Below are 26357 nucleotides of genomic sequence, written 5' to 3'. Positions count from 1 at the left end.
AGGGGGGTGGGCTGAGGCCGCACCTGCACGAGGAAAAGGGTGCCTTAGGAAAGTCTGTCTGGGCAGGGTCGGGGGCTGGGCCCAGCCCCGGTGCCCACCACCCTCACCAACGTGACTACAGGCCAGGGGGGGAGTGAGGCAGGAGGAGTCAAAGCAGGCGGGGACCAGAGCACGTGATGCCCTGGGCTGACTCCAGTCCTGCTGGGATCACGTCCGCCTCTAGAAAAACAGGTGGCGTAGCAGGTGGGCAGCACGTTGCCATGATGTGCCGTGGCCCGGCCGTGGCTGGCGTGATCCCACCAGAGTGAGCTGGAGCAGATCTGCACCATGGGCCAAGTTTCTCAGAAAATACATAGCTTCCTGTGGGCTGCAGCCTAATGCCCACGTTCCTCTCGGGGAAGACCAAAGGTTATTCAACCAGGGCAAAGGACAGCCTTGCAAACCAACTACGTCCTCCTTCTGGAGTTTGTGTGACCCCTGGCCCCTGAGCCCACACCCTCTCGGAGCGGGGTTCCAACTCCGTGGAAGCTCTGCTGAGATGCAGGTAGGGTTGGCTTTCCTGGGGAAACACCAGTGGAATGTGGCTATCGTCATGGGTGCCAGGGATGGGGATGAGGCCAGGCATACAGGCCATGAAGGCGGTCTGGAACTGCATGTCCCCCACAATACCTAGGGGCTCAGGAGTTTCTTCTCCCTCAAACAGAAACCCAGCACCCTCAGGGTCACTGCGTGTGGGTCCTAGCAATGCTTAATAGCTACCTGTTTTTTGATGTATTTTTATTTTTATTTTTTAGACAGTTTCACTCTGCCACTCAGGTTGGAGTGTTATAATCTCAGCTCACTGCAGCCTTGACCTCTTGGGCCCAAGTGATCCTCCCACCTCAGCCTCCCAAGGAGCTGGGACCAGGTGTGTGCCACCATGCCTGGCTAATTATTATTATTTTTTTTGGTAGAGACAGGATTTCATCGTCTTGCCCAGGCTGGTCTCCAACTCCTGGGCTCAAGGGATCTTCCCACCTTGGCCTCCCAAAGTGCTGGGGTTGCAGGCATGAGCCACCACACCTGGCCGAGCCACCTGTGTTTATGGAGCTCACAAAGCCTGTTTGCATGTGTGAGTTCAAGTTATTGCCACAAGAACCTGGTGCAGTAGCAGATGGGATGCCCGTCGTGTAGATGAGGAAACGGGCTTAGTGTGTCTAAGGGGCTTGTCCAAGGTCACTCAGCGAGTGCATGGAGCATCCCAGCTAATCCAAGGTCTCTGCCTTCCCATTCCCAACGCTTTAATTCACATCCTGATCTTTCCCAGTGCAGTTTCCACAGCTCTGCTATGCCGGGTGATAAAAGACCCACTTCCTACAATTGGGCTTCCATGGCAAACATGGCCAGTTGACCCATATAGTATGATGCCAGGCACTTGGGACAGGCGGGAGAAAAAGATATTTTGGGGATTAGGGTGGAGCAACTTTTGAAGGGTCCCATGGCCCTGGCTCACTGCAAGAAGAGTCCCAGGCCGGGTGTGATGGCTCACGCCTGTAATCCCAGAACTTTGGGAGGCCAAGGCAGGCGGATCACTTGAGGTCAGGAGCTCGAGACCAGCCTGGCCAACATGGTGAAATCCTGTCTCTACTAAAAATACAAAAATTATCTGGGCAGGGTGGTGGGTGCCTGTAGTCCCAGCTACTCGGTAGGCTGAGGCAGGAGAATTGCTTGAATCTGGGAGGCGGAGGTTGCAGTGAAGCAAGATGGCACCACTGCACTCCATCCTGGGCAACAGAGCGAGACTCTGTCCCACCCCCGACCCCTCAAAAAAAAAAAAAAGAGTCCCAGGAGAGCAAGGTTCATGGGCCAGAAGAGAAGCTGAGTGGATAAAAGATTAATGAGACACTGGAAGACCTAGGCTGGAACCGACACGCTGTGTGACCCTGAGGATGGCACTCCCACTCCTGAAACTCAGTATCCAATGGCGTAGAGCTGGGATGACCCCTCTGCTGGGCCCCTAACCAGGGCATTGCAACTTGGTTTCCATGGTACTCCCTCCTGGGTTCAGACTTTTTAGTGGAGCCTGCTCGGTGGCTGGGGTGGGTTTGGAGAATGGGCAGCCTCATTGTTGCAAGGCAGCTTTCCCCAGGTGAGGCTACTACAGGGTTTACATCCACCACCCAGATTGTAGGATTCACATTTTGCTATATTTTCTTTATCACCTGTGTCTCTATCTATCCCACCCCTCTCCAGCTCATGCATAGCTGATACCTCTTCTCCCAGTCTACATTTGAAGGTTATAGCGTTTGAGTCATTTTATCTCTTCCTGAAGCAGCTCCTTTCTTTAAAGCCTTGAAATCTTGTTGATGGTCTCAAAAAACAAACAAACAAACAAACAAAAAAAACATTTAACTCTAGGAGAGTTGTGGCCACATTTTCTTTTAAAAATTACATGTCCAGGCCAGGCGTAGTAGCTCACTCACACCTATAATCCCAGCACTTTGGGAGGCCAAGCTGGGTGGACTGCTTGATCTCAGGAGTTTGAGACCTGCCTGGGCAGCATGGTGAAACCCCGTCTCTAAAAAAAATACAAAAAATTAGCTGGGCGTGGTAGCACGTGTCCATAGTCCCACCTACCTGGGAGGCTGAGGTGGGAGGATAGCCTGAGCCAGGGAGGTCAAGGCTGCAGTGAGCTGTAATCGTGCCACTACACACCAGCCTGGGTAACAGACCAAGATTCTGTCTCAAGAAAAAAAAAAAAATTAGGCCAGGTGCAGTGGCTCATGCCTGTAGTACCAGCACTTTGGGAGGCTGAGGTGGGCGGATCACCTGAGGTCAGGAGTTTGAGACCAGCCTGGCCAACATGGCAAAATCCCGTCTCTACTAAAAATACAAAAATTAGCTGGGTATGGTGGCACACACCTGTAATCCCAGCTACTTGGGAGGCTGAGGCATGAGAATCACTTGAGCCCAGGAGACAGAGGTTGCAGTGAGCTGAGATCACACCACTGCACTCCAGGCTGGGCAACAGAATGAGACTCTGTCTAAAAAAAAATCATGTCTATTTGATTTTTAAATTTTTCTTGAGACGAAGTCTGGCTCTGTTGCCCAGCTGGAATGCAGTGGCACAATTTTGGTTCACTGTGACCTCTGCTCCTGGGGCTTTGACCTCCACATCCCAGGCTCAAGCCATCCTCCTACCTCAAGCTCCTGAGTAGCTGGACTGTGGGTGTGCGCCACCATGCCAGGTAATTTTTGTATTTTTAGTAGAGATGGGCCTTCCCCATGTTGCCCAGGCTGGTCTCAAAGCTCAAGTCATCTGCTGGGATTATAGGCGTGAGCCACCACAACCAGCCCCAAATTAGTATGTTGAAGTCCTACCTCCATTACCTCCGTGTCACTGTATTTAGAGATAGGGTCTTTAAAGAGGTAATTAAAGTTAAATGAGGTCACTGGGGTGGGTCCTGATCCAGTCTGACTGGCCTCATTATAAGAAGAGACACACAGAGGGAAGATCCTGTGAAGACATAGGGAGAAGGCGGCTGTAGACAAGCCAAGGAGAGAGGTCCTCAGAGGGAACCAACCCCCCGGCACCTTGATCCTGGCCTTTATGCCTCCAGAACTCTGAGAAAATACATTCTGTTTTTTAAGCCACCCAGTGTGTGGTACCTTGTATGGCAGTCCTAGCAAACGAATACAGCCCTTACGCAAAACGTACAGCTAATATCACACTTAACAGTGAGACCAAAGACTTTCCTCCCTAAGATCAAAACAAGGCAAGGATGTCTTTTCTCACCGGTCCCACTAAACATTGTACTATTGAATGCGCAATTTGTGCAATAAGTTAAGAAAAAGACATTAAAGGCATCCACACTGAAAAGAAAGAAGTAAAACTATCTTCATTTGCAGATGACATAATTCTACTGTAGAAAATCCAAAGGAATGTATAAAAAAAAAAAAACCCTACTAGAATAAAGGTCTCAGAATACAAAATTAACATACCAAAATCCACTGCATTTCTACACATTGGCAATAAACAATCTGAAAATGAAATTGAGGAAACAGTTCCACACATGGCCAGGCACAGTGGCTGACATCTGTAATCCCAGCACTTTCCGAGACCGAGGCAGATGGATTGCTTGAGGTCAGGAGTTCAAGACCAGCCTGGCCAACATGGTGAAACCTCATCTCTACTAAAAATACAAAAAATTAGCCAGGCGTGGTGGTGGGCAACTGTAATCCCAGCTACTCTACTCAGGAGGCTGAGGCAGGAGAATTGCTTGAACCCGGGAGGCGGAGGTTACAGTGAGCCGAGATTGAGCCACTGCACTCCAGACTAGGCGACAGAGTGACTCATTCTCAAAAAAAAAAAAAAAAAAAAGAAAATCCATACACATAAAACTGTAAAACAACATTGCTGAGAGAAACTAAAGATCTAAAAAAATGCATAGACATTTCACCTTCATGGAATAGAAGACTCAATATTGTTTTATTGTTTGTTTTTTGAGACTGAGTCTTGCTCTGTCGTCCAGGCTGGAGTGCAGTGGCGTGATCTCTTCCTACTGCAACCTCCGCCTCCTGGGTTCAAGTGATTCTCCTGCCTCAGCCTCCCATGTAGCTGAGATTACAAGCACCTGCCACCATGTCCAGCTAATTTCTTTTTTTTTCTTTTCTTTTTTTTTTTTTTTTTTTGAGACAGAGTCTCACTCTGTCACTGAGGCTGGAGTTCAGTGGCGCGATCTGGGCTCACTGCAACTTCCACCCCTTCGGTTTAAGTGATTCTCCTGCCTCAGCCTCCCAAGTAGCTTGGATCACAGGCGCCCGCCACCACACCCGGCTAATTTTTGTATTTTTAGTAGAGACATGGTTTCACCATGTTGGCCAGGCAGGTCTTGAACTCCTGACCTCAAGTGAGCCACCCACCTTGGCCTCCCAAAGTGCTGAAATTACAGGCATGAGCCACTGCACCTGGCCAGTTTTTGTATTTTTAGTAGAGACAGATTTCACCATGTTGGCCAGGGGAAGACTCAATATTGTTAAGATAGATGGTAATTCTCCCCAAATTTGTCTATTAATTCAATGCAATGCCCATCAAACTTCCAAAAGATTTTTGTTGTTGTTGTATTTTAAAGCAATTGAGAGGCCAGGTTTGGTGGCATGTGCCTGTAATCCCAGCTATTTGGGAGACTGAGGCAAGAGGATCCCTTGAGCCCTGGAGTTTGAGACCAGCCTGGGCAATATAGCAAGATCCATCTCAAAAAAAATTTGAAAACTGGATCTTAAAATTTGCATGGAAACGCAAAGGAATTAGAATAACCAAAACACATTTGAAAAAGAATAAAACTGGAGAATGTATACTACCTGATTTCAAAACTTGCTATGAAACTTCTAGTAATCACATCTATAAGATATGGAAAAAGGACAAGACATATAGATCAAGGAACAGAATGAACAATACAGGAAAAAACTCTTACATTTATGGCCAATTTATTTTGTTTTATTTGAGGGTCTCACTTTGTCACCCAGGCTGGAGTGCAGTGGTACCATAATTGCTGAGTAGCCTCGAATTCCTGGGCTCAAGCCATCCTCATGCCTCAGCCTCCTGAGCAGGTAGGACGATAGGCACGTGCCACCATACCCAGCTACTTTTTTTTTTTTTCCAGACAGGGTCTCACTCTGTCACCCAGGCTGGAGTACAGTGGTGTGCTCACGGCTCCGGGGTTCAGGTGATCCTCCCACCTCAGCGTCCCAGGTAGTTGGGACTATGGGCATGCACCACCATGCCCGGCTAATTTTTTGTATTTTTGGTAGAGACGGGGTCTTGCCATGTTGTCTAGGCTGGTCTAAAACTCCTGGGCTCAAGCGATCCTCCTGCCTTGGCCTCCCAAAGCGCTGGCATTACAGTTGTGAGCCACCGCGCCCGGCTCCGCCTCCCGGGTTTACACCATTCTCCTGCCTCAGCTTCCCGAGTAGCCGGGACTACAGGCGCCCACCACCACACCAGGCTAATTTTTTGTATCTTTAGTAGAGAAGGGGTTTCACTGTGTGAGCCAGGATGGTCTTGATCTGACCTTGTGATCCACCTGCCTTGGCCTCCCAAAGTGCTGGGATTACAATCATGAGCCACCGTGCCTGGCCCTTCTTTTTCTTTTTTTTTAGATAGGGGTCTCACTATGTTGCCCAGGCTGGAGTGCAGTGGCTATTCATAGGTGCAATCATAGTGCACTGCAATCTCCAACTCCTGGTCAGCCGCTACTTCTTAAAATGTTTCTCTGTCTGGTTCATGTTTCAAAGTCTGGTTCATGACTCTGCTACACTTCAGTTTCAAAAGCTGGTAGCAAAGGAAAGAACATGCCAAGAGCTGAGGTTCTGCTGTGATGAGACCACCCAAGCTCCCCGTATCTATACCAAGGGATCTGTTGCCCAGGCTGGAGTGCAGTGGTGTGGCCTTGGCTCACTGCAACCTCTGCCTCCCGGGTTCAAGAGATTCTCCTCCTTCAGCCTCTCAAGTAGCTGGGATTATAGATATGCACTACCACACCCGGCTAATTTTTGTATTTTTAGTAGAGATGGCGTTTCACCATGTTGGCCAGACTGGTTTTGAACTCCTGACCTCAAGTGATCTGCCCGCCTTGGCCTTCCAAAGTGCTGGGATTACAGGCATTAGCCACCGCACCCGGCCCGGATGTCTTACTTAGCTCTTCAAGGCTTACGGAAGTTGGTACCTTGTGGAACTAGGCTGGGGAGGTCTGGATGCCAGATGTTCTTCTGAGGTTGCTGTTCTTATAATTGCTGTATTCAAATATATCACCCAGTTGAGATGAAATGCCTAGAGCACAGCTGCGGAGTGGGACCAGCTGGGCTGAGGAGGGAATGAAGTACAAACATCCAGCGATGTTCAGGGCCCTGAAGCAGCTGGGAAGCGCAGGCGTTCAAATCACCAGAGGCATGGCTATATCAGCTCACATATCATGCACACAGATGCATGTCCTAGGCGTGGAAACAAAGCTCCCCAGACCATGGTTAACTCACCGCATGCACCTGGAGTTCCATCTGCACCAAGGCGCCAGTGGTTACTTTTAGAAATAAACAAGTCACAATGAACACAGTTAAAAGATGTCAGCACTAGTGGCACTTGGGGACTCCAGCCCAGCTCCTGTCACAAGCAACTGGCCACCAGGTCCGGACCCACATCCTTTGCTCTTGGCCTACTGAGGTCATTCAGTTTTGCTCATCTCCCACAACCTGGAAACCCAAGGGGGCAGGCTGTGCAGCTCATCCTGGAAGAATAATAGAAGAGCAGCTGTCGTGCATGGAAAGATCGTGCAATGGGTCAAGTATTTAATTAATTATTTTTTGAGACAGGGCCTTGATCTGTCACCCAGGCTGGAGTGCAGTGGCGCGATCAGGGCTCATTGCAGTCTTGAACTTCTGGGCTGAAGCGATCCTTTCACCTCAGCCTCCCGGGTAACTGGAACTATAGGCACGTACCACTCTACCTGGCTAATTTTTTTATTTTTGGTAGAGACGGGGTCTCCCTAAGTTGCCCAGGCTTGTCTTGAACTCCTGGGCTCAAGCGATCCTCCTGCCTCAGCCTCCCAAAGTGCTGGGATTACAGGCGTGAGCCACTGCGCCCGACCTGTTAATTTATTTTTTGAGACAGGGCCTTGATCTGTCACCCAGGCTGGAGTGCGGTGGCATGATCACGGCTCATTGCAGTCTTGAACTTCTGGGCTGAAGCGATCCTTTCACCTCTGCCTCCCGGGTAGCTAGTACTACAGGCACACACCACTATACCTGGCTAATTTTTTTATTTTTGGTAGAGACGGGGTCTCCCTAAGTTGCCCAGGCTGGTCTTGAACTCCTGGGCTCAAGAGATCCTCCCACCTTGGCCTCCCAGTGTTGGGATTACAGGCGTGAACCACCATGCCAGTCTGGGTCGAGTATTTTATATTCATTAGTTGAGTTTCATAACAACCCTATAAAGTAGGCATCACTGTCCATTTTAAAACAAGTAAACAGAGGCCTAGGAAAAGTAACCACCCAAGGTCCTATACACCAAGGAAGAGGCAATGCTGGCATTCAGACCCAGGCCAGTAAACCCAAAGCCCCATGCCCTTGACCCACCACAACAATCTGGGATTCTGAGCTGCTTGAGTCAGGTGACACCCCAGATCTAAGCATCTGAAGGTCCCTAACTGTGGAGCCTTTCATGAGAACAAGCCACTGGAGGGTAAGCACACGTCGCTCTTCTCAGGGGAGGGTGTACTAAAGGAGCCTCATCTCACTCCCCCTGTGCCATGAAGGCCACACCAGGTGAGCACCCTTGGGAGGGAGACGCATAGCCTGACTGGGGTGCTAATGGGTCCCGGCACTGGGTTCTCCACATGAACAGTTGTGTGAATCCAGGAGGCTCAGATCACGTGCCACAGCGCCACCTACTGGCCTGCGAACAACAACATCGTCCTGTTGTAAAGTCGGCAAACAATCATTTAAAAATTTTCAGGCCGGGCGCGGTGGCTCACGCCTGTAATCCCAGCACTTTGGGAGGCTGAGGTGGGCAGATCATAAGGTCAGGAGATCGAGACCATGCTGGTCAACATGGTGAAACCCGGTATCTACTAAAAATACAAAAAATTAGCTGGGCGTGGTGGCGTGTGCCTGTAATCCCAGCTACTCGGGAGGCTGAGGTGGGAGAATCCCTTGAACCAGGGAGTCAGAGGTTGCAGTGAGCCGAGATCACGCCACTACACTCCAGCCTGGCGACAAAGCAAGACTCTATCTCAACAAGAAAAAAAAATCAAACATTTAAAATCCTTAAATCTTTTTTTCTTTTTGAGACAGAGTTTCGCTCTTGTTGCCCAGGCTGGAGTGCAATGGCGTGATCTCGGCTCACTGCAACCTCCACCTCCTGAGTTCAAGCGATTGTCCTGCCTCAGCCTCCCGCGAAGCTGGGATTATAGGCATGCGCTACCACGCCTAATTTTGTATTTTTAGTAGAGACAAGGTTTCTCCATGTTGGTCAGGCTGGTCTCGAATTCCCAACCTCAGGTGATCCGCCCGCCTCGGCATTCCAAAGTGCTGGGATTACAGGTGTGAGCCACCGCACCTGGCCTAAAATCCTTAAATCTTAAAAGACATTTTAAAGATTTTGCCCTCCACTTTTTGCCCATTCATTTAATCATCTGTTAAACACCAAACACCATGTGAGGTGTTGGAGTTTGGGAGAATTCGAGTCTTTCTCCGAGGGACTTACAGAAGGAGCAGGGCAGATAACCAAATAAAGACACATCAGAAACGGGTGTGTGAGGACCCCAAAGGGGCCATTCTCTTGGGGAAGGAAAGGCTCCACTGTGGGATGATGGTGGTCTTGGGCAGAGCTTTTGAAAGACAGGAGGGGCCAGGCACTGTGGCTCACACCTGTAATCCCAGCACTTTGGGAGGCTGAGGTGGGTTGATCACCTGAGGTCAGGAGTTCGAGACCAGCCTGACCAATGACCACCATAGTGAAACCTCGTCTCTACTAAAAATACAAAATTAGCCAGGCATGGTGGCGCATGCCTGTTATCCCAGCTACTCAGGAGGCTGAGGCAGAATTGCTTGAACCTGGGAGGCGGAGGTTGTGGTGAGCCGAGATCTCGCCACTGCACTCCAGCAGCCTAAGCAAGAAGAACAAAACTCCGTCTCAATCAATCAATCAAATGAAAGACAGGAGGTCTCTGTCAGGACAACTTGGGGGAGTGGGGGTCCATGTGATCCTCAATTTGCGACTTTCCACAAGCACAGGGGAGGGCTGCCAGGAGGCATTTTAGTGAGCAAATATGGGAGTGGGAGACCTCTCAGTGTGACTGGAAAGCAGGATTCGAGGTGAGATCCAGCTGTGGATGGCGAGCACGCACTCGGCTGCAGGACCCACATCACACGCAGCGCAGGCCGGAGCCCTGGGGCAGCGTGGCCTGCCACACCCTGGAGACCCTGGCTGGCCAGGCTAAGGACTGAGAGCTTTGTCTCACGACAAAGGGGAGTCCCTTGAGGGTTTCAAGGCAGTGAGTAAATTGACCTCCCCTGTTTTACAAAGACAACCCTGCAGAGGGAGGGGGGATGACATGAGAAGCAGGAAAATCAGTAAGAGATTGTTCTCGAAGTCAGGGCTGACAACCCTCTCTGCCACAGCAGCAGTGGTGGGGACAGTGAGGTCCGAACAGAGGAGAGGCACTGAGGAGACAGCCCTGTGAGGCTGGGTAATGAGCGGGAGGTGTAGGGAGAGGCGAGTGGGGAGACCAGGTGAGTCCCAGGTTTCTGGCGTGGTTGACTATTCCTGGAACTGGAATAGAAGGGGCTGATTTAGAAGACAAGATGAAGAGATTGTTGTAAACATGTTAACCTATGAGATTCTCAAAAGTACAAATACTTAAAAAAAAAAAAACTACTCAAAAATTACTTTGGGCCAGGCACAGTGGCTCACGCCTGTAATCCCAGCACTTTGGGAGGCCAAGGTGGGTGGATCACTTGAGGTTGGGGGTTTGAGACCAGCCTGGCCAACCTGGCGAAACCCCGTCTCTACGAAAATACAAAAATTAGCTGGGCATGGTGGCGCGTGCCTGTAATCCCAGCTACTCTGGAGGCTAAGGCAGGAAATCACTTGAACCTGGGAGTGGAGGTTGCAGTAAGCCAAGATCACACCACTGTACTCCAGCCTGGGCAAAAGAGCAAGACTCTGCCTCAAAAAAAAAAATTAGTGAACAGGTCAAGTCCAGGGACCAACTTGTGGATGGAAGCTGGTGTAGAAAAAGAGCACTGGTTGTTTCTCTCAGGGTTGTTTCCACAGGGTGAGAACACGACCCCCCTTGCTTTCCACACAAACCTGAGTGCACACGTGCCCGTGTGGAACATCAGGTGGCAGGTTCCTCCTGAGGTCAGCTGTAGGCAGAAGGCCGGTCGGAATTTCAGGAGGCGGGAAGCTTTTACCCCCAGCCACTCCAGCGCTGCAGGGAGGGTAAGATAAACACCTACATCTTCTCTACCCCCGTCCCCAAATCCTCCCTCACACTGGTACACACAGGGAGGTACACACTCTCCTCTGCACGCTGTTTATGCTTTGTGGTGGCAAACACATTTAAGTCACTACAGATGAAGAACATTTCACAAGCAGCCGTGCAAGAGTAGTTAAAATGTGTTTATTCATTTACAAACCCAGTAACATGAGAAGAAACTCAGTGGAAACCTTGCTTGGTGGAGACAGTGCACAGTGTTAGTGCCACATTCACAGGGGCAGAAATGCTCGGTCACCCTGTGCACCCAAAGTCACCCAGGATCTCTAGAAAAGATCCCACTTACTGAAGTGCCTCGGATGTCTTCAGGGCCAGATTGTAACTACACAGGAACAGGGAAGGGCTAAGCTGAACTGCAAATTGACAAACACAAACGATGAGTCACAGGACTCTACAGTAGTTACAATGGCATTTTTATATGTCCCAAGTGTTGACTGGAGAGTAAAGTGTTAACTGAGCTGCTAGAACACCCTTCACTGAAAGAGCTTTCTACCCCACGCCCATTGTTCCGAAGAAGGAGAGGCTATGTGGGGCGGATGGGAACCCACACACCGAGATGAACTTTTCTCTTTCTTCCAATCTGCACCCACCATCTGACATTCTGGAGTGTAAGGCACTAGAACCTGGCTTAGAGAATAGTGGGGCTCTAAGCTCCAGTTCTTGGTGTGCAAAGGAAATTCTGACATACATCTTTTGAAAGAGATGCTAAAAAACCCTCCCTATCTCCTGTAATTTCTGTCTTTGACAGACAGGAAAATAAGAAGGCAGAAGATGGTCTGCAAAGGATAAAAACAGGTGCATCTAAGAATGAGAAAAATGGCTCATGAAGAAATGTGTAACTCTCCAAGAGATGCAGACACTCTGCTCAGAGAAGTCAAGAACCATAAACAACTCTTCATGTTTCATGGACAAAGGGAAGGCAAAGGCATACAAAAATACTCAGTTGTCTTGAAAAGTGTACTGGTAGTGATCAGGGCTACAAAGGCGAGCCCTGTACTGACAATGGAGGAGCCTTACAACTCAGCACCTTAAATTGTTGGCCTGAAGTGGTGGCGGGGAGGGAGGCGCTGACGGAGAGACCCATGGCTCACCACTTATTGCGTGTACACAAGGCCTGGGGCAAGCCTCACAAGTCTACCATTTCTTCCACTCAACTGTGCTTCTCCTGAATCCATGTGCCTGAAATGACATATGCAAGGTGAACATTCTTTATACTGTGTTAATACTGCTTATATCAATGTTCGTGAGGGGTGTGTGGGGGATGGGGTGCAGCAGGAAAATTAGAATGGCAGGAGGTTCTTATTTATTATTAAGCACTGTTGACCAAACCTCTATCTTAGATTTTTTTTTTTTTTTTTTTGAGACAAGAGTCTCACTCTGTTACCCAGGCTGGAGTGCAGTGGTGCAATCTCAGCTCACTGCAACCTCTGCCTCCTGGGTTCAAGCAATTCTCCCACCTCACTGGGCCTCCCAAAGTGCTGGGATTACAGGAGTAAGCGACCACGCCCGGCCAACCAAACCTCTATCTTAGATGTTAAAGAAGACCCTTATTGACTACACTGGCCAAGAAGCAACAGAGATATAAAGCTGAATCTTGTAGCTAACCCCTGAAAGCAAGCCAACGCAAATTCCTCCGCCAGGCCAGTCTTCTAGTGCCAATATGGAGACTGTGGGCCACAGAAGATTCCCTTCTATTTCAGGTTCTCAAAAAGTGGTGTAGACTCAGGCAAATGCCAGGAAATGTGTCCATATGCCAGAGGAGACACAGAGCCAGAAATGAAGGCTATGGGTCCTGTCTTCAGTGAAACACTGAACGCTCTCGGAAAGCTCCCATCATTCTTGCATCGCTACTGCCACCAAGACGGTGGCAAGGGAGGAGGCTAACTTTCAAATGCATGCAACGGCAGGTAATATACTGTGGAAGCTGGAGGTTTACTTTTCATGTTTTAGTTACTTTCTTGCAAACAGCAGTCCAGGAAAGCAAGCAAGCAGGTAAAACTCCGGGTGTGCATGAGGAGATGATCCAAGGCCAGTGGGCCTCCCAGTGAGAACCAAACAGGAGTGGCCAGGCTCCACTCCTGGGGCCAGAGTGAAACCGGGGTTTAATCACTGGGCTATGTGGTCTCTGTGTCTCTGGCCTGAATGAGATCTCTTCAATGTCGGGGGACAGGGATCCCTGGAAGAGCGTGAAAAATACAGTGGTCACTGTGCAGTTCTCTCTGCTGGAGCCTGTCCTGCCATCATACAAGGTGCTGTGACAGCAATGCAAGGTGAAAGGAGATCAAATGGCCCAGCTCAGCAGTTAGTGTTTGTCCCTTTTTGCTCTTCAGAGTTCCTGAATGAGAGCTTTTCTGGCTTCAGTACCAATGATCACAGAAGGAACATCTTCCTGATGCAAGCTTAGATGGAAGTCAATGACCCTGGCAGTGCTAAGAACAGAAGTCACACGTGGCCTGACGATGAAGGGGAGGTAATTAAAGACATTTCAAGGGAGGGGAAGGCCCACGGAAAACTGGCAACCCTGGGTCTCCGTTTGAGGCCAATATACTTTGTGTTCCTAGGTTCAGATGGCATACACCGACAAGAGAAGGCAGAGACCATCCTTCGTGGTGAGCACAAAATGCTATGACAGGTAATTGCAGAGAGAAAAAAGCACCCAACTCTGTAAAGCCAAGTCCAGTCACCCATTCACAAGAGTCCAAAATCCTTCAAATCTCTAGGGACAGAAGACAAACGTGCTGCCCAGAATGAGCTGAGACACAAGGCAAACCCTTGGAAATGACACATGGATGAGGAGGCTGTGGTTGTCCCTCCTTATTCCTGCTGGATTTGCAGCCACGGCTCTGGATCTGGGGCATCTACTGGCCTCCCCTGTTCACTCAAGAGGCCACTGCCTCTCAGGAGTCCAGAATGCTCTGATATCTGACACCGGTGGTCAGGAAGTTATGCTGCCCTCTCCTCTTGAACAGCTAAGATGCTTGGACACTAGACAGAGGCAAAGCAGTTATGCCAGAAGCAGGGGAGAGTCATTCACTGTCAGATCTGTCTGTTCAAAGAGCTCACATTAGACCAATCACAGAAAACCACCAGACTCACACAGCTTGTATTTGAATGAACCAGGAGAGACTTCAAGGATCAACTCTAAAGTGCTAGAAGAGAAATCTGTGTTTGGGGCACTGAATAAACAAGTGATGTCCTAGAAGATCAACACCCCATCAGTCTTAGGAGTATGACCCTATTCATGGACAAGGGGTTTCAATGGACAGCCTGAGTGCTCAGCCCCCCATCCTCCTCTCCTAGCAAGACAAGCAGTCTGTTGCTCAGAGGGGGAAACTGATGTCATTTAACAGGAGGTCAGGATTTCTGGTTCTACTTCAACAAACAGTGCATAATTTTGGACACAGCATCAGATTTCCTGACTTCTTACAAAGGACAGCTAATTAAAAACGTGTCAATCTGTAGTAATTAGTTGGAGATTAACAAGGGCAGAAGAGAATCCAAGTCTTAAAACTCTATGTGGGATACATTTCTGATGAAGCTTCTATTTGACTAATATACTGTGATGATGGCACTATTCGATTTTAAACTATGGAGACAGCTTTTATTATTTCGATTTGGATCCTGGTAAGTGGTGATACTGCTATGTAACAGTTAAAGCACAAATGTATTGCCATAGTTAAGGTTGAAGAGTTATGTCTATGTGTAACTAAATTCTTCTGGATTCAATTACAAATACGTTTTCCTTTACAAAGATGGCTTTGGAGGGGTGCAAATGCTACGTGTTTGGAAGAGCAGAGGAGGCCTGCAGCTCTCAGTCACCTGTCTCCATCTTCGGAGGTAAGTCTGCTCCCTGCTGGTAATGCCTGCATCTGCCCAAGGGCCTGTTCCTCCTCTCCCAAGGCCTTCACAGCTGGTGTTCACTGGTTGGCCCTCCAGCCGGCAACACCTCTCCTCCTCTCTGCCTAGAGGCAGCATCTCTCGGCTAGTTAAGTACATACTTGCTCCAAGACAACTAGACCCCCAAACAGAATTCTAATCATATGCTCCTCTAACAAGCCAACCAGAACCTTCCAAAAAGGTTTAGGCACTAAAGTCAGTAATCACTAGGAGTGGTCTAGTTGGGGAAGTGGCAAGAAATGTCTAGAAGGAGCCAGCGTAAGTGGGTAAACAGAGATCCCAAAGAAACACCAGAGAAGGCAGACACCTGAGCATTTTAAGCTGCTCTAATGAAATGGAAGGATGTCCCTTAATACACTTATAGACCTATCAGAGCTAATGCTTCCAAGATACCAACACGCCAAAGGCTAGAGTTTTACTAACCAAAATGTCTTATAGCAGTTTATTTGCACTTAAAAAAAGTCAGATTAGGGCAGTTGATATGCAAGGGGAAAATGAAGCATTGAGGCTGGACAACAGTCCATGATATCTAAGTTTCACCTTGGGAAAACAGAGACACTGCCTGAAAGCGCAGGGCACTTCTGGGCACCCACATTGTCTCCTGCTCCAGAGGATATGGAAGGGTGGGTGGAGGGAAACAAAGAGCCTGGGGGGAAAGGAGGAAAAGCGGTCTCTAGCCTTATGCAACGTACACCCTTTGGACTCAGAACTCTCAGTGGACTAACGTGGGTCACCTCTGTGTAGCTCTGCTCTGTGCTGGAGAGTCAAACCTGGAATTCCGGCAGCTCTCTGGAACTCAGCACAGCCCGCAAGGTTGAAAGGCCCAGGACAACACACCTGATCCCTTCCCCTCCCTATTCTAAAGGGAGAGAAACATGACTTTATGGGCCAACTGTGAAAGGGACAAGTGAGGCTGACCTGACAAAGTCAAACGCACTGGGAGAAGGGGAAGGAGGAACGGCTGAACTTTGGACAGCTGAGAGAAAAGCAGCATTGTTTCCATAGCAGAACACTCAGCATCACTGGTGGGGACTTTCTAAGGTCAGACCCTTTTGACTGGGAAAAGCAACACACAAGGCAATATGGTTTTTCCCTTTCAAACACTGTGGCTTACTTGTTTACTCAACTAAGAAAGAAAAAGCAACCTTATTATAGAGATTAGCAAGAGATGAAGAAAATTATAGGGAGGCTGCCCTGGCCCAAAGGTCTGCTAATGGCTTCTGCAGGGAGGATGAGGATGGTGCTAGGTTAACTGCTTGTCTCCACTACAGACCAGAGAACGTCCATGCGATGCCTCTTATCAGTGAGGTAGATAATCATCCTCTTGCCAGAGGTATCGAGTGCCAGCCCACAGCACAGCAGAACAGGAGAACGAGCTGCCGGGCTGCAGGCACGAGCTGCCCCTCAGGGCTGCATCCGACACACGGCAACCCCACCAGAACTAATAGGCTGCTCCAAGAAAATGGAACCCAAGGGAGAGGGACTCGTGCCCTGAGACCTGCACCACCCCGGCTTGCCCTGCCTTGAGATGCAGAATTTGAAAGCAGCTGTCACCATCACTCATGTCCACAGTGGAGCTTGCTTCTGTCCTGTCAGACATACCTCCTGCCACCACGAGAAGCTGAGTGAGGGGTGGGAAGGGAAGAAGAGCCCAGAGTGAATATTAGGAGGAGGAGGTGGAAGGGCAAGGAAGGCTGCAGAGCAAAAAAGTTTAAAGTAGGTCAAGTTCAAAATTATATCAAGGAGATAAGAGATGGGAGGCAAAGGCTCCAGAAGAGGAACAGAGGCGGAAGGAAGAGAAGCTCCAAGGTGACGCCCACTCTAGGACAAGATGATGGGGAGGAGGTGAGGCTGCCCTGGTGGCATCACTTCCCATGTAAGTCACTCAGCTCCATGTCATCCTTTCGGCGCTTCTGGGTGAAGAGGGAGGCGACAGGGTAGAGCTTGGCCTTGGCCTGGAAGCGGTATCCCGCGATGTCAATCTCATACTCTCCCCGGTTGATGAAATCTGCTGTCACCACTTGCTCTTCCCCCGTGTCCTCAGAAAAATTGTGCACAAAGCCCAGGCAAACGTGGCGCTCCAGGCTGTAGCTGTAGGCACTGCTGGTGGTCTTGCCAACATACTGCCCATTCCGGTAAATGGGCTCTCCCCACCAAGGCCAAAGGTCTAGGTCTGAATCATGGTCGTCCAGGATGAACATGGTGAGGCGTTTATACACTCCATTCTGCTTCTGCTGCAGGAGGGCGTCGCGACCAATGAAATCCATGCCCTAAGAAAGAAAGGAAACGCCGAGTCATCCAGCGACACTCAGACCCTCGGCACAGAGAGCAGCACCGTGGGAAGGGTCCCCTGGTGTCACTGCAATGGGGCACAGCCGCCTCCTCCCACAACCCTGCCAGCTTTTGGGAAACTGTGCGATTTCTACCATGTGAAAAACTGCATGTGAAATATAAAAGACGCCGCGGTAATTTTTGTAACAACAGAGGTACGCATTTTGTTTCCTATTTTATAAACATAAAGTCACAAGACCAGATAGAACAAAAACGTTTAGGAAGAAAACTCACTCACTTAATAAAATACCTTATCAGTCCAGTACTTTAGAAAAATGTTTTTATATTGGCCAGTCGTGGTGGCTCACGCCTTGAACAGAGATGAGGCAAACCTCATCTCTACTAAAAATACAAAAATAAGCTGGGTGTGGTGGAGTGTGCCTATAGTTCTAGCTACTTGGGAGGCTGAGACAGGAAAATCACTTGAACCTGGGAGGCAGAGGCTGCAGTGAGCCAAGATTCTGGTGGAGTGTGCCTATAATTCTAGGGAGACTGAGACAGGAAAATCGTTTGAACCTGGGTGGCAGAGGCTGCAGTGAGCCAAGATTGCACCACTGCAGTCCAGCCTCGGTTGACACAGCAAAACTCTGTCTCAAAAAAAAAAAAAAAAAGACTTTTTTATATAATCCCAACAAGACCATGCACATCTATATTCAATGCATACACACATATATACACATATGTACAACAAATAAGACTAGAATAAACTATTAACGGTGATTATGGCCAGGCACGGTGGCTCACGCCTGTAATCCCAGCACTTTGGGAGGCTAAGGCGGGGGGATCTCCTGAGGTCAGGAGTTCGAGACCAGCCTGACCAACCTGGAGAAACCCCATCTCTACTAAAAAAAGAAAAAATACAAAAATGCCTTCTCATGCTCAAGTGATTCTCCCACTTCAGCCTCCCAAGTAGCTGGGCCCACAGATGCGCCACCACACCCACCTAATTTTTTGTATTTTGGTAAAGACAAAAAATACAAAATTAGCTGGATGGCTTACAGCTACTCGGGAGACTGAGGCAGGAGAATCGCTTGAAGCCAGGAGGCAGAGATTGCAGTGAGCTGAGATCGCGCCACTGCACTCCAGCCTGGACAACAAGAACGAAACTCCGTCTCAAGAAAGAAAAAAAAAATAGTTACTACCATTAAATAGACAAAATATGGGTGATTTTAATTTCCTTCTTTATATTTTCCAAAATGGGTTATTACCTTTTTTTTTTTTGGAGATGGAGCCTTGCTCTGTCACCCAGGTGGGAGTACAATGGTATGATCTCGGCTCACTGCAACCTCTGCCTCCCAGGTTCAGGCAATTCTCCTGCCTCAGCCTACCGAGTAGCTGGGATTACAGGTGCCTGCCACCATGCCCAGCTAATTTTTATATTTTTAGCAGATACGGGGTTTCACCATGTTGGCCGGGCTGGTCTCGAACTTGTGAACTCAGGTGATCCGCCCAAAACAAAAAAACCAAAAAAATTAGGCCGGGTGTGCTGTCTCACGCCTGTAATCCCAGCACTCTGGGAGGCCGAGGAGGGCGGATCACCTGAGCTCAGGAGTTCGAGACCACCCTGGCCAATGTGGTGAAACTCTGTCTTTACCAAAATACAAAAAAATTAGCTGGGCATGGTTGTGCATCTGTGGTCCCAGCCACTTGGGAGGCTGAAGTGGGAGGATCACTTGAGCATGAGAGGGCATTGCAGTGAGCCAACATCGCGCCACTGCACTCCAACCTGGGTGACAGAATGAGACCCCACCTCAAAATCAAAAACAAAAGAAAAAAACCACAAAAATTAGGCAGCTGACTATAGGACGACTAGTTTGTACAAATATTCGTGGCATGTTAATGCATCACCATAATTAACTCAGAATAGCTTCCCAGAAAGCACTCAGTCTTTTAGACAGCAGAACACTAGAAATAAGTGGGTTTTTTTGTTTGTTTTTCAATTGTAATTCAGAGACAAGGTCTTGCTGTATTGCCCAGGCTGAGCTCAAGTGATCCTCCTGCCTTGGCCTCCCAAAGTGCTAGGATTACAGTTGTGAGCCACCGCACCTGACCAAGTGTCATCTATTTACTATGTTTTCTTTTTTCTGAGACGGAGTCTTGCCCTGTCACACAGGCTGGAGTGCAGTGGTGCGATTTTGGCTCACTGCAACCTCTGCCTGTTAGGTTCAAGTGATTCTCCTGCCTCAGCCTCCCGAGTAGCTGGAACTACAGGTGCTGGCCACCACGCCCAGCTACTTTTTGTAAATTTTTTTTTTTTTGAGACGGAGTCTCGCTCTGTCGCCCAGGCTGGAGTGCAGTGGCGTGATCTCGGCTCACTGCAACCTCTGCCTCCTGGGTTCACGCCATTCTCCTGACTATAGGCGCCCGCAACCACACCCGGCTAATTTTTTGTATTTTTAGTAGAGACGGGGTTTCACTGTGTTAGCTAGGATGATCTCGATCTCCTGAACTTGTGATCCGCCCGCCTTGGCCTCCCAAAGTGTTGGGATTACAGGTGTGAGCCACCGTGCCCGGCCTACTTTTTGTATTTTTAGTAGAGACGGGTTTTGCCATGTTGGCCAGGCTGGTCTCGAACTCCTGACCTCAGGTGATCCACCCGCCTCAGCCTCCCAAAGTGCTGGGATTCAGGCGTGAGCCACCATTATTATGTTTTCATTTGAAGATATTTTATCCTATAAAGTTTTCATTCTCAGGGCACTCTTGTCCTCATTTACCTGATGCTAACATCAAGGCCTCAATCTTTTCCCCCTTTTCCTGTCACATCAGTTCTTCTTCCTAGTCTAGTGCAGATTCACTACTCGGGATGCTGAGTGAAAGTGGAGTCTGGGTAAACACAGTACCTTCTCTAATTTCACCCGAGACTCTCGTCCACATTCCAGGGGCGTGGTGAGGTTATTTATATCCTGACCCCAGAAGGCAAAAAACTTCTCAATTCGGAGACTGCGAAGAGCGTAATACCCAGCATTCCGGATTCCGTATTTCTGGCCAACACTCATCACTTCATTGTATACATGCAGGGCGTACTATAGGAAGAGACAGAAAGTTCATAAGCAGCAGACCTTCAGAATTAAGCATGGAGCATGTCTGGAAGCGCTGATGGCTCACACTATTAACATGGACAAGAGAGGAGGCGTATAAAACTCCCAGGATGTCTCATCCTTGACACGCTCAGGGCACAGCCCAGGAGTGATGAGCTGGGGTCACCCCAGCCTGGACTTAAGCTCCATGACAACAGGATCCATGTCTTTTCACCTCTCTAAAATGTCTTGTGTGGTGATTCTAGCTTACAGCAATTCTTAAATAATAATTTATAGAAGCTCTCTCACCATTTGGTAAATGGCCAATCTCATCATCATTTCTAAAACAGCCCACCAACCCTCCATGGTCTTCATCTGATTCTGGCTTTGTTCTTTTGCTCCAATTTCCCAACCACTGTTACTCCCTCACGTACTGGCCCAAGCTGTGAGGCCCAGCTCTCACACGTTACTCGAGACGTGTGCACACATCGGATGACGGCGGGGGAGCCAGGAAGGCAGGGCTCGCCTGCTCATGTCCCACAGCATTCAGGCTCTCAAGCTGCTCTTTTCTTGGTTTCAGAAACATGTACGTTATCAGATCAGTGAACAGAAGGTTTTCCAAACTGAAAGCAAATATTCAATCCCTGTCTGAACATACGCTGTTAAGTTTAAAGTCCAACAAAAATGAGACTACACTGTTTGCTTTTAAAACTGTAAAATGAAATCCAAAGCAAGACGTAGCAAAGAACCAGCTTCAGTGGTACTGCAGTTCTTTATCCTAGCACAGTATGTTTCTATGAACTGCACCACTGTAGCTGAACAGGCATCTACCAAACAGACCACTATGATCAAGACAACTTTATTTACTTATTTATTTTTGAGACAGAGTTTTGCTCTTTTGCCCAGGCTAGAGTGAAGTGGCGCGATCTCGGCTCACTGCCATCTCCACTCCCGGGTTCAAGTGAATCTCCTGCCTCAGCCTCCCGAGTAGCTGGTACTATAGGTGGCTGCCGCCACACCCAGCTAATTTTTGTATTTTTAGTAGAGACGAGGTTTCGCCATGTTGACCAGGCTGCTCTCGAACTCCTGACCTCAGATGATTCACTCACCTTGGCCTCCCAAATTGCTGGGATTACAGACATGAGCCACCGTGCCGGGAAGACAACTTTAAATGTGGAAAAAAGGAATCCAAGCTATTGCATGCAACACTCGCCTGTGGTATGTGTGTAAGGGAAACACCTGAATCAGCCAAGGTGGGTGCAGGAGACCCACAGAATGCGGCAGGACGAGGAGAATACACAGCTGGCATCTCCAGGGAATGTGGTACTCTCCCACCTCAAGCTCAATGCCCGGTCCTTTAGGTAAGAGGATGACCAAGGAAGAACGATGTAACCAGGTGACTAGTGTTGGGCCAGATCCAACTACGTGACTAATGCTGGGAAAATCAAAGAGAAGAGTGGGTCCCCACCATTTACTCAAAGAGTAGTTCCCCACCATTTACTCGTTTTTCTCACAAAATACCAGAGATTTAGTGTGAACAAAACGAGAATCTGCCATCTGCCCCCATGTTTTGGAAGACCTCTTCTCAGAGAGACAAACATAAGCTTCCTGGACAAAAGCCAGCTTATAAAGAACCCAAGCGTGGCACAAATAATCTCTTAGACTCTTGAAAAATCATAAGAATGGGAACAGCCCAGGGAAATCAGAAAGCTGAAACCAAGGCCTCCAAGCAAGGATGAAGCTGCTAGAGCCACAGAGCCTCCCCTTCCTGATGAGGTTTGACCACAAGCACCCAGGTGACAACACCTGAACCACTGGGTGGCACTTCAGAATCAACCTGCCTGCACAGGCCAACCATGGCAGCTGCATCTGTTTAAATTCTTCCCAAGTCTTGAACAATCTCTTCATCTTCATATTGTTGTAATACTTCTGAGTGTGGAAAAGCAGATGAAATTTCATGCGCTGATATTATCTGTGCTTTAATCATTTAAAAAGGGTTGGGCACAGTGGCTCAAATAGTTAAAACAGGGCCAGACACAGTGGCTCACGCCGGTAATCCCAACACTTTGGGAGGCTGAGATGAGAGGATCATTTGAGGCTGGAGTTAGAGTCCAGCCTGGGCAACATATTGAGACTCTCAAAGCTACAAAAAATAAAAAAATAGGCCGGGTGCGGTGGCTCATGCCTGTAATCCCAGCACTTTGGGAGGCTGAGGCAGGCGGCTCACGAGGTCAGGCGATTGAGACCATCCTGGCCAACACGGTGAAACCCTGTCTCTATGAAAAATACAAAAAATTAGCCGAGTGTGGTGGCGTGTGCCTGTAGTCCCAGCTACTCAGGAGGCTGAGGCAGGAGAATCGCTTGAACCCAGGAGGTGGGGCTTGCAGTGAGCCGAGATCATGCCACTACACTCCAGCCTGGGCGACAGTGGGAGGCTCCGTCTAAAAACAAAAAAATAAAAGATAGCTGGGCATCTGTGGTCCTATCTACTCAGGAAGCTGAAGTGGGATGACTGCTTAAGCCCAGAAGTTCAAGGCTACAGTGAGCTATGATCATCCCACTGCACTAAAAAATAGTAATAAATAAGGTCGGGGTAGTGGCTCACACATGTAATCCCAATACTTTGGGAGGCTGACGTGAGAGGATCACTAGAGTCCAGGAGTCTGAGACCAGCCTAGGCAACATAGCAAGACCCTGCCTCTACAAAAATAAAATTAAAAAATTAGCTGGGGATGTTGGCACATGCTTGTAGTCCCAGCTATTCAGGAGGCTGAGGCAGGGGGATCACTTCAGCCTCGGAGGTCAAGCTGCAGTAAGCCAGCCTGGGTGACAGAGCAATGCCCTGTCTCACAAAAAAAAAAAAAATTAAGAGAAAACCTATCACTACAAGTAGTATGACTAACATCAAGAAGAAAACAAGCATGCCTACAATCATTGATTGCTACCTGTCACAATAGAACAAAGGAAGGAAATTATAGGAAGAAAGACTATGGGCCCGGGTGCGGTGGCTCACGCCTGTAATTCCAGCACTTTGGGAGGCCGAGGTGGGTGGATCACCTAAGGTCAGGAGTTCGAGACCAAGCTGGCCAACATGGTGAAATCCTGTCTCTACTAAAAATACAAAAATTAGTCGGGTGTGGTGGCAGGCGCCTGTAATCCCAGCTACTCGGGAGGCTGAGGCAGGAGAATCACTTGAACCCGGGAGGCAGAGGTTGCGGTGAGCCTAGATCATGTCATCGCACTCCAGCCTGGGGGACAAGTGTGAGACTTCATCTCAAAAAAAAAAAAGAAAAAAAAAAAAAAAAGCCGGCCGGGTGCGGTGGCTCACGCTTCTAATCCCAGCACTTTGGGAGGCCAAGGCTGGCAGATCACGAGGTAGGAGATCGAGACCATTCTGGTTAACCCGGTGAAACCCCGTCTCTATGAAAAATACAAAAAATTAGCCGGGCGTGGTGGCAGGCGCCTGTAGTCCCAGCTACTCAGGAGGCTGAGGCAGGAGAATGGCGTGAACCCGGGAGGCGGAGCTTGCAGTGAGCCGAGATTGCGCCACTGCACTCCAGCCTGGGCGACAGAGTGAGACTCCGTCTCAAAAAAAAGGTTCTGGAGAAGGAAGAAACTATTACTATTTGCATATGATTAGACTGAACTCAGCCTGCAGACCTTTTTATAACAGCAAAAGACTAGAAATAACATAAATGTCTATTAGTATCGGAATGATGTACCACAATGGAATGCTACGCCACTGTTAAAAAATAAAGAAAAAAAGAACAAGGAAGCTCTTTTGCTTTAGGTACCAACAAAGAAAGAGCTCTAAGAGAAATTGTGAAGTGAGGCCGGGCATGGTAGCTCATGCCTGTAATCCCAGCACTTTGGGAGGCTGAGGTGTGTGGACCACTTGAGGTCAGGAGTTGGAAACAAGCCTGGGCAACATGGTGAAGCCCCGTCTGTACTAAAAATACAAAAATTAGCCAGGCGTGGTGGCGTGCACCTGTAATCCCAGCTACTCGGGAGGCTGAAGCAGGACAATCACTTGAACCTGGGAGGCGAAGGTTGCAGTGAACTGAGATTATGCCACTACATTCCACCCTAGGTGACAGAGTGAGACTCTGCCTCAATTAAAAAAAAAATTGTGAAGTGAAAAAAAAAAAAACAGGATGAAGAATAGCAGTATGCTTCCATTTCTGTTTTTAAAAAGGGGGCTTGGCTGGGTATGGTGGCTCACACCTATAATCCCAGCACTTTGGGAGGACAAGGTGGGTGTATCACCTGAGGTCAGGAGTTTGAGACCAGCTTGAGCGACATGGCAAAACCTGTCTCTACAAAAAAATACAAAAATTAGCCAGGCATGGTGGCACATGCCTACAGTCCCAGCTACTCGGGAGGCGGAGGTGGGAGGGTGGCTTGAGCCCAAGAGGTCGAGGCTGCAGTGAGCCACGGTCATGCCATTGCACTCCACCCTGGGCAAAAGAGTGAGACCCTGTCTCAAAAAAAAAAAAAAATTAATTATGAATTTGCTTGCAATATGCATACAAATCTGAAATGACATATAAAAGTAATACTAATATTATTGGTGACAGTTGGTGAGAACAGATCAGACGGCGCCAAATACTTTTTAAATGTATCACCTATTCAAAAAAACTTATATAACTTAGTTAAAAATGGTCAAATCTCTTCAATGCAGCCTACCTCAGCTCCCAAGGCCCAATCAGATACAGCTCTCCAAACCTGCCAGTGCTGGTGAACGCGCTGCTGGGAGCACTGGCACCCCACAGTGGTTGTGGGAAGGGAAGGGAAGGGAAGGGAAGGGAAGTGAAGGGAAGGGAAGGGAAGGGTGCCCTCTCACCTCTATGGGGATGTAGAGCATGAATCCTGGCTCTCCTGTGTGCGTCATGCTCATCACCCGGATCCCATTTGCATAGCCCACACTCATCTCCTGCAGGGACAAAGGCAGCAGTCAGCCTGGGCACTCACATTACTTGTCAAGGGAGGGACGCCTGGGGAAACCTTTCATTAGTGCTGCACCCTCTGTTTACTGTTGAGGGAGACAGACGTCAAGGCAAGAATTTCATCCCGAAAGTGGTTAACTTCCAGGTCCTGAGGCACAGAGAATGGAGCACTGCCTATGTGACATCTCTGCTTGCTACTGTTACCATCTCAGGAGTTTTAGCCAAGCTGATGGTAGAGAGTGGAGGAAAGTCCTTGACAAGCACAAAATATTCCTCTTTGCCAGGTCCTTGTGTTAGTCGAGGGTAGCAGGCACAATGAGGACAAGGCGAGTGTCTTCTCTGGGGGAATCAGCAGACAAACCCTGGCCGCCTGCCATACAAAAGATGATGCCCGATGCCCACAGACATAATTAATCTGCTATCCTGGGGTCAAAGATGGGCTTCTGATTCTCAGAACACGTTACATAGCAGCTCAGTTCCCTAACAGCGGCCACTGACGCAATCACCGTTCCTATAAAGGAAAGTGGAAAGTCCTGGACAGCACCGAAGTGAACCGCTTCCACAGGAGGCTGACAGGATGCAGCACTCGCCAGGTGTTGAGCGTATGGGTCACTCCTCCAAGCAGCAGAGCAAACGCTGGGAGGGGTCCACTGATAGCTAACAGTGGAGAGTTTTCTGTTGCTTTCACTTTGCCTCGGAGAAGAAGGAAAACTGTGAAACAATTTGTAGGTGGATCCCACTTTGGGTGAACTTCAAAGAGTCTCCATCAGTAACCACCTGGAAGTTGCTCGTTACAGGTGGCCAAGATGTCTGTCCGTTTGGCCCTCTCTAATCAGCAGCTTCCTGGGGAGGATTCCGTTGTCATTGCTTTCATTCGGTTACAGTTTGTTTCACTCAGCTGTGGTTGCCACTTATAGGAAAGAAAATTATGTAGGAAGTTCAGAGATTCACCTACGCCATTTCTTCCCTGAAGATGCCACAGACACAGAAGTTACTCTGTGTACAGAAAAGAGGCCACACTGCATGGAGAGAAGGGACCTAACTTCGAAAGGCATTTTTGTGTGTGTCATAATCCTGTAACTTCAAATTTTAATCCAGTGCTACAGAAACCAAAAAGCATAAAGACTTTACATTTA

At 48.7% G+C, this 26357-nt stretch overlaps 1 protein-coding gene and 1 long non-coding RNA gene across 19 annotated transcripts in view, besides 1 other annotated feature; one reads left to right on the top strand and one right to left on the bottom strand.

The window, feature by feature from the left end:
• Nucleotides 1-223: 223 nt before the first annotated feature.
• LOC400541 (uncharacterized) lies at nt 224-17332 on the top strand. The gene is made up of 3 exons (NR_126007.1): nt 224-544; nt 14783-14867; nt 17168-17332. It is a non-coding gene; the product is annotated as an uncharacterized LOC400541 (long non-coding RNA).
• Nucleotides 6445-6944: an enhancer, noted in NCBI's record as "H3K27ac hESC enhancer chr16:70200631-70201130 (GRCh37/hg19 assembly coordinates)". NCBI's record gives its function as "activates a minimal SCP1, AML or CMV promoter by ChIP-STARR-seq in naive and primed H9 embryonic stem cells {active_cell/tissue: H9 hESC(naive and primed)}" and the evidence as "EXISTENCE:reporter gene assay evidence [ECO:0000049][PMID:30033119]".
• PDPR (pyruvate dehydrogenase phosphatase regulatory subunit) overlaps nt 10245-26357 on the bottom strand; it is a 49802-nt gene continuing 33689 nt past the window's right edge. For 11 of the 18 annotated variants that reach the window (NM_001322117.1, NM_001322119.1, NM_001322118.1 and 8 more), the window contains 3 exons: nt 25119-25208; nt 20099-20281; nt 11135-17197 (listed from right to left, as the gene is read on the bottom strand). In NM_001322117.1, the coding sequence (NP_001309046.1) occupies nt 16793-17197; nt 20099-20281; nt 25119-25208 (678 nt within the window). In that variant the 3' untranslated portion in view covers nt 11135-16792. Of the gene's footprint in view, nt 10304-11134; nt 17198-20098; nt 20282-25118; nt 25209-25235; nt 26132-26357 lie in introns of those variants that run through there. The other 7 variants (XM_047434303.1, XM_047434306.1, XM_006721224.3 and 4 more) reach the window with 3 other exon arrangements.

Source organism: Homo sapiens, chromosome 16 (assembly GCF_000001405.40).
Source record: "Homo sapiens chromosome 16, GRCh38.p14 Primary Assembly".
NCBI classification, from domain to species: Eukaryota; Metazoa; Chordata; class Mammalia; order Primates; family Hominidae; genus Homo; species Homo sapiens.
This window is presented reverse-complemented; position numbering and strand designations above follow the sequence as displayed.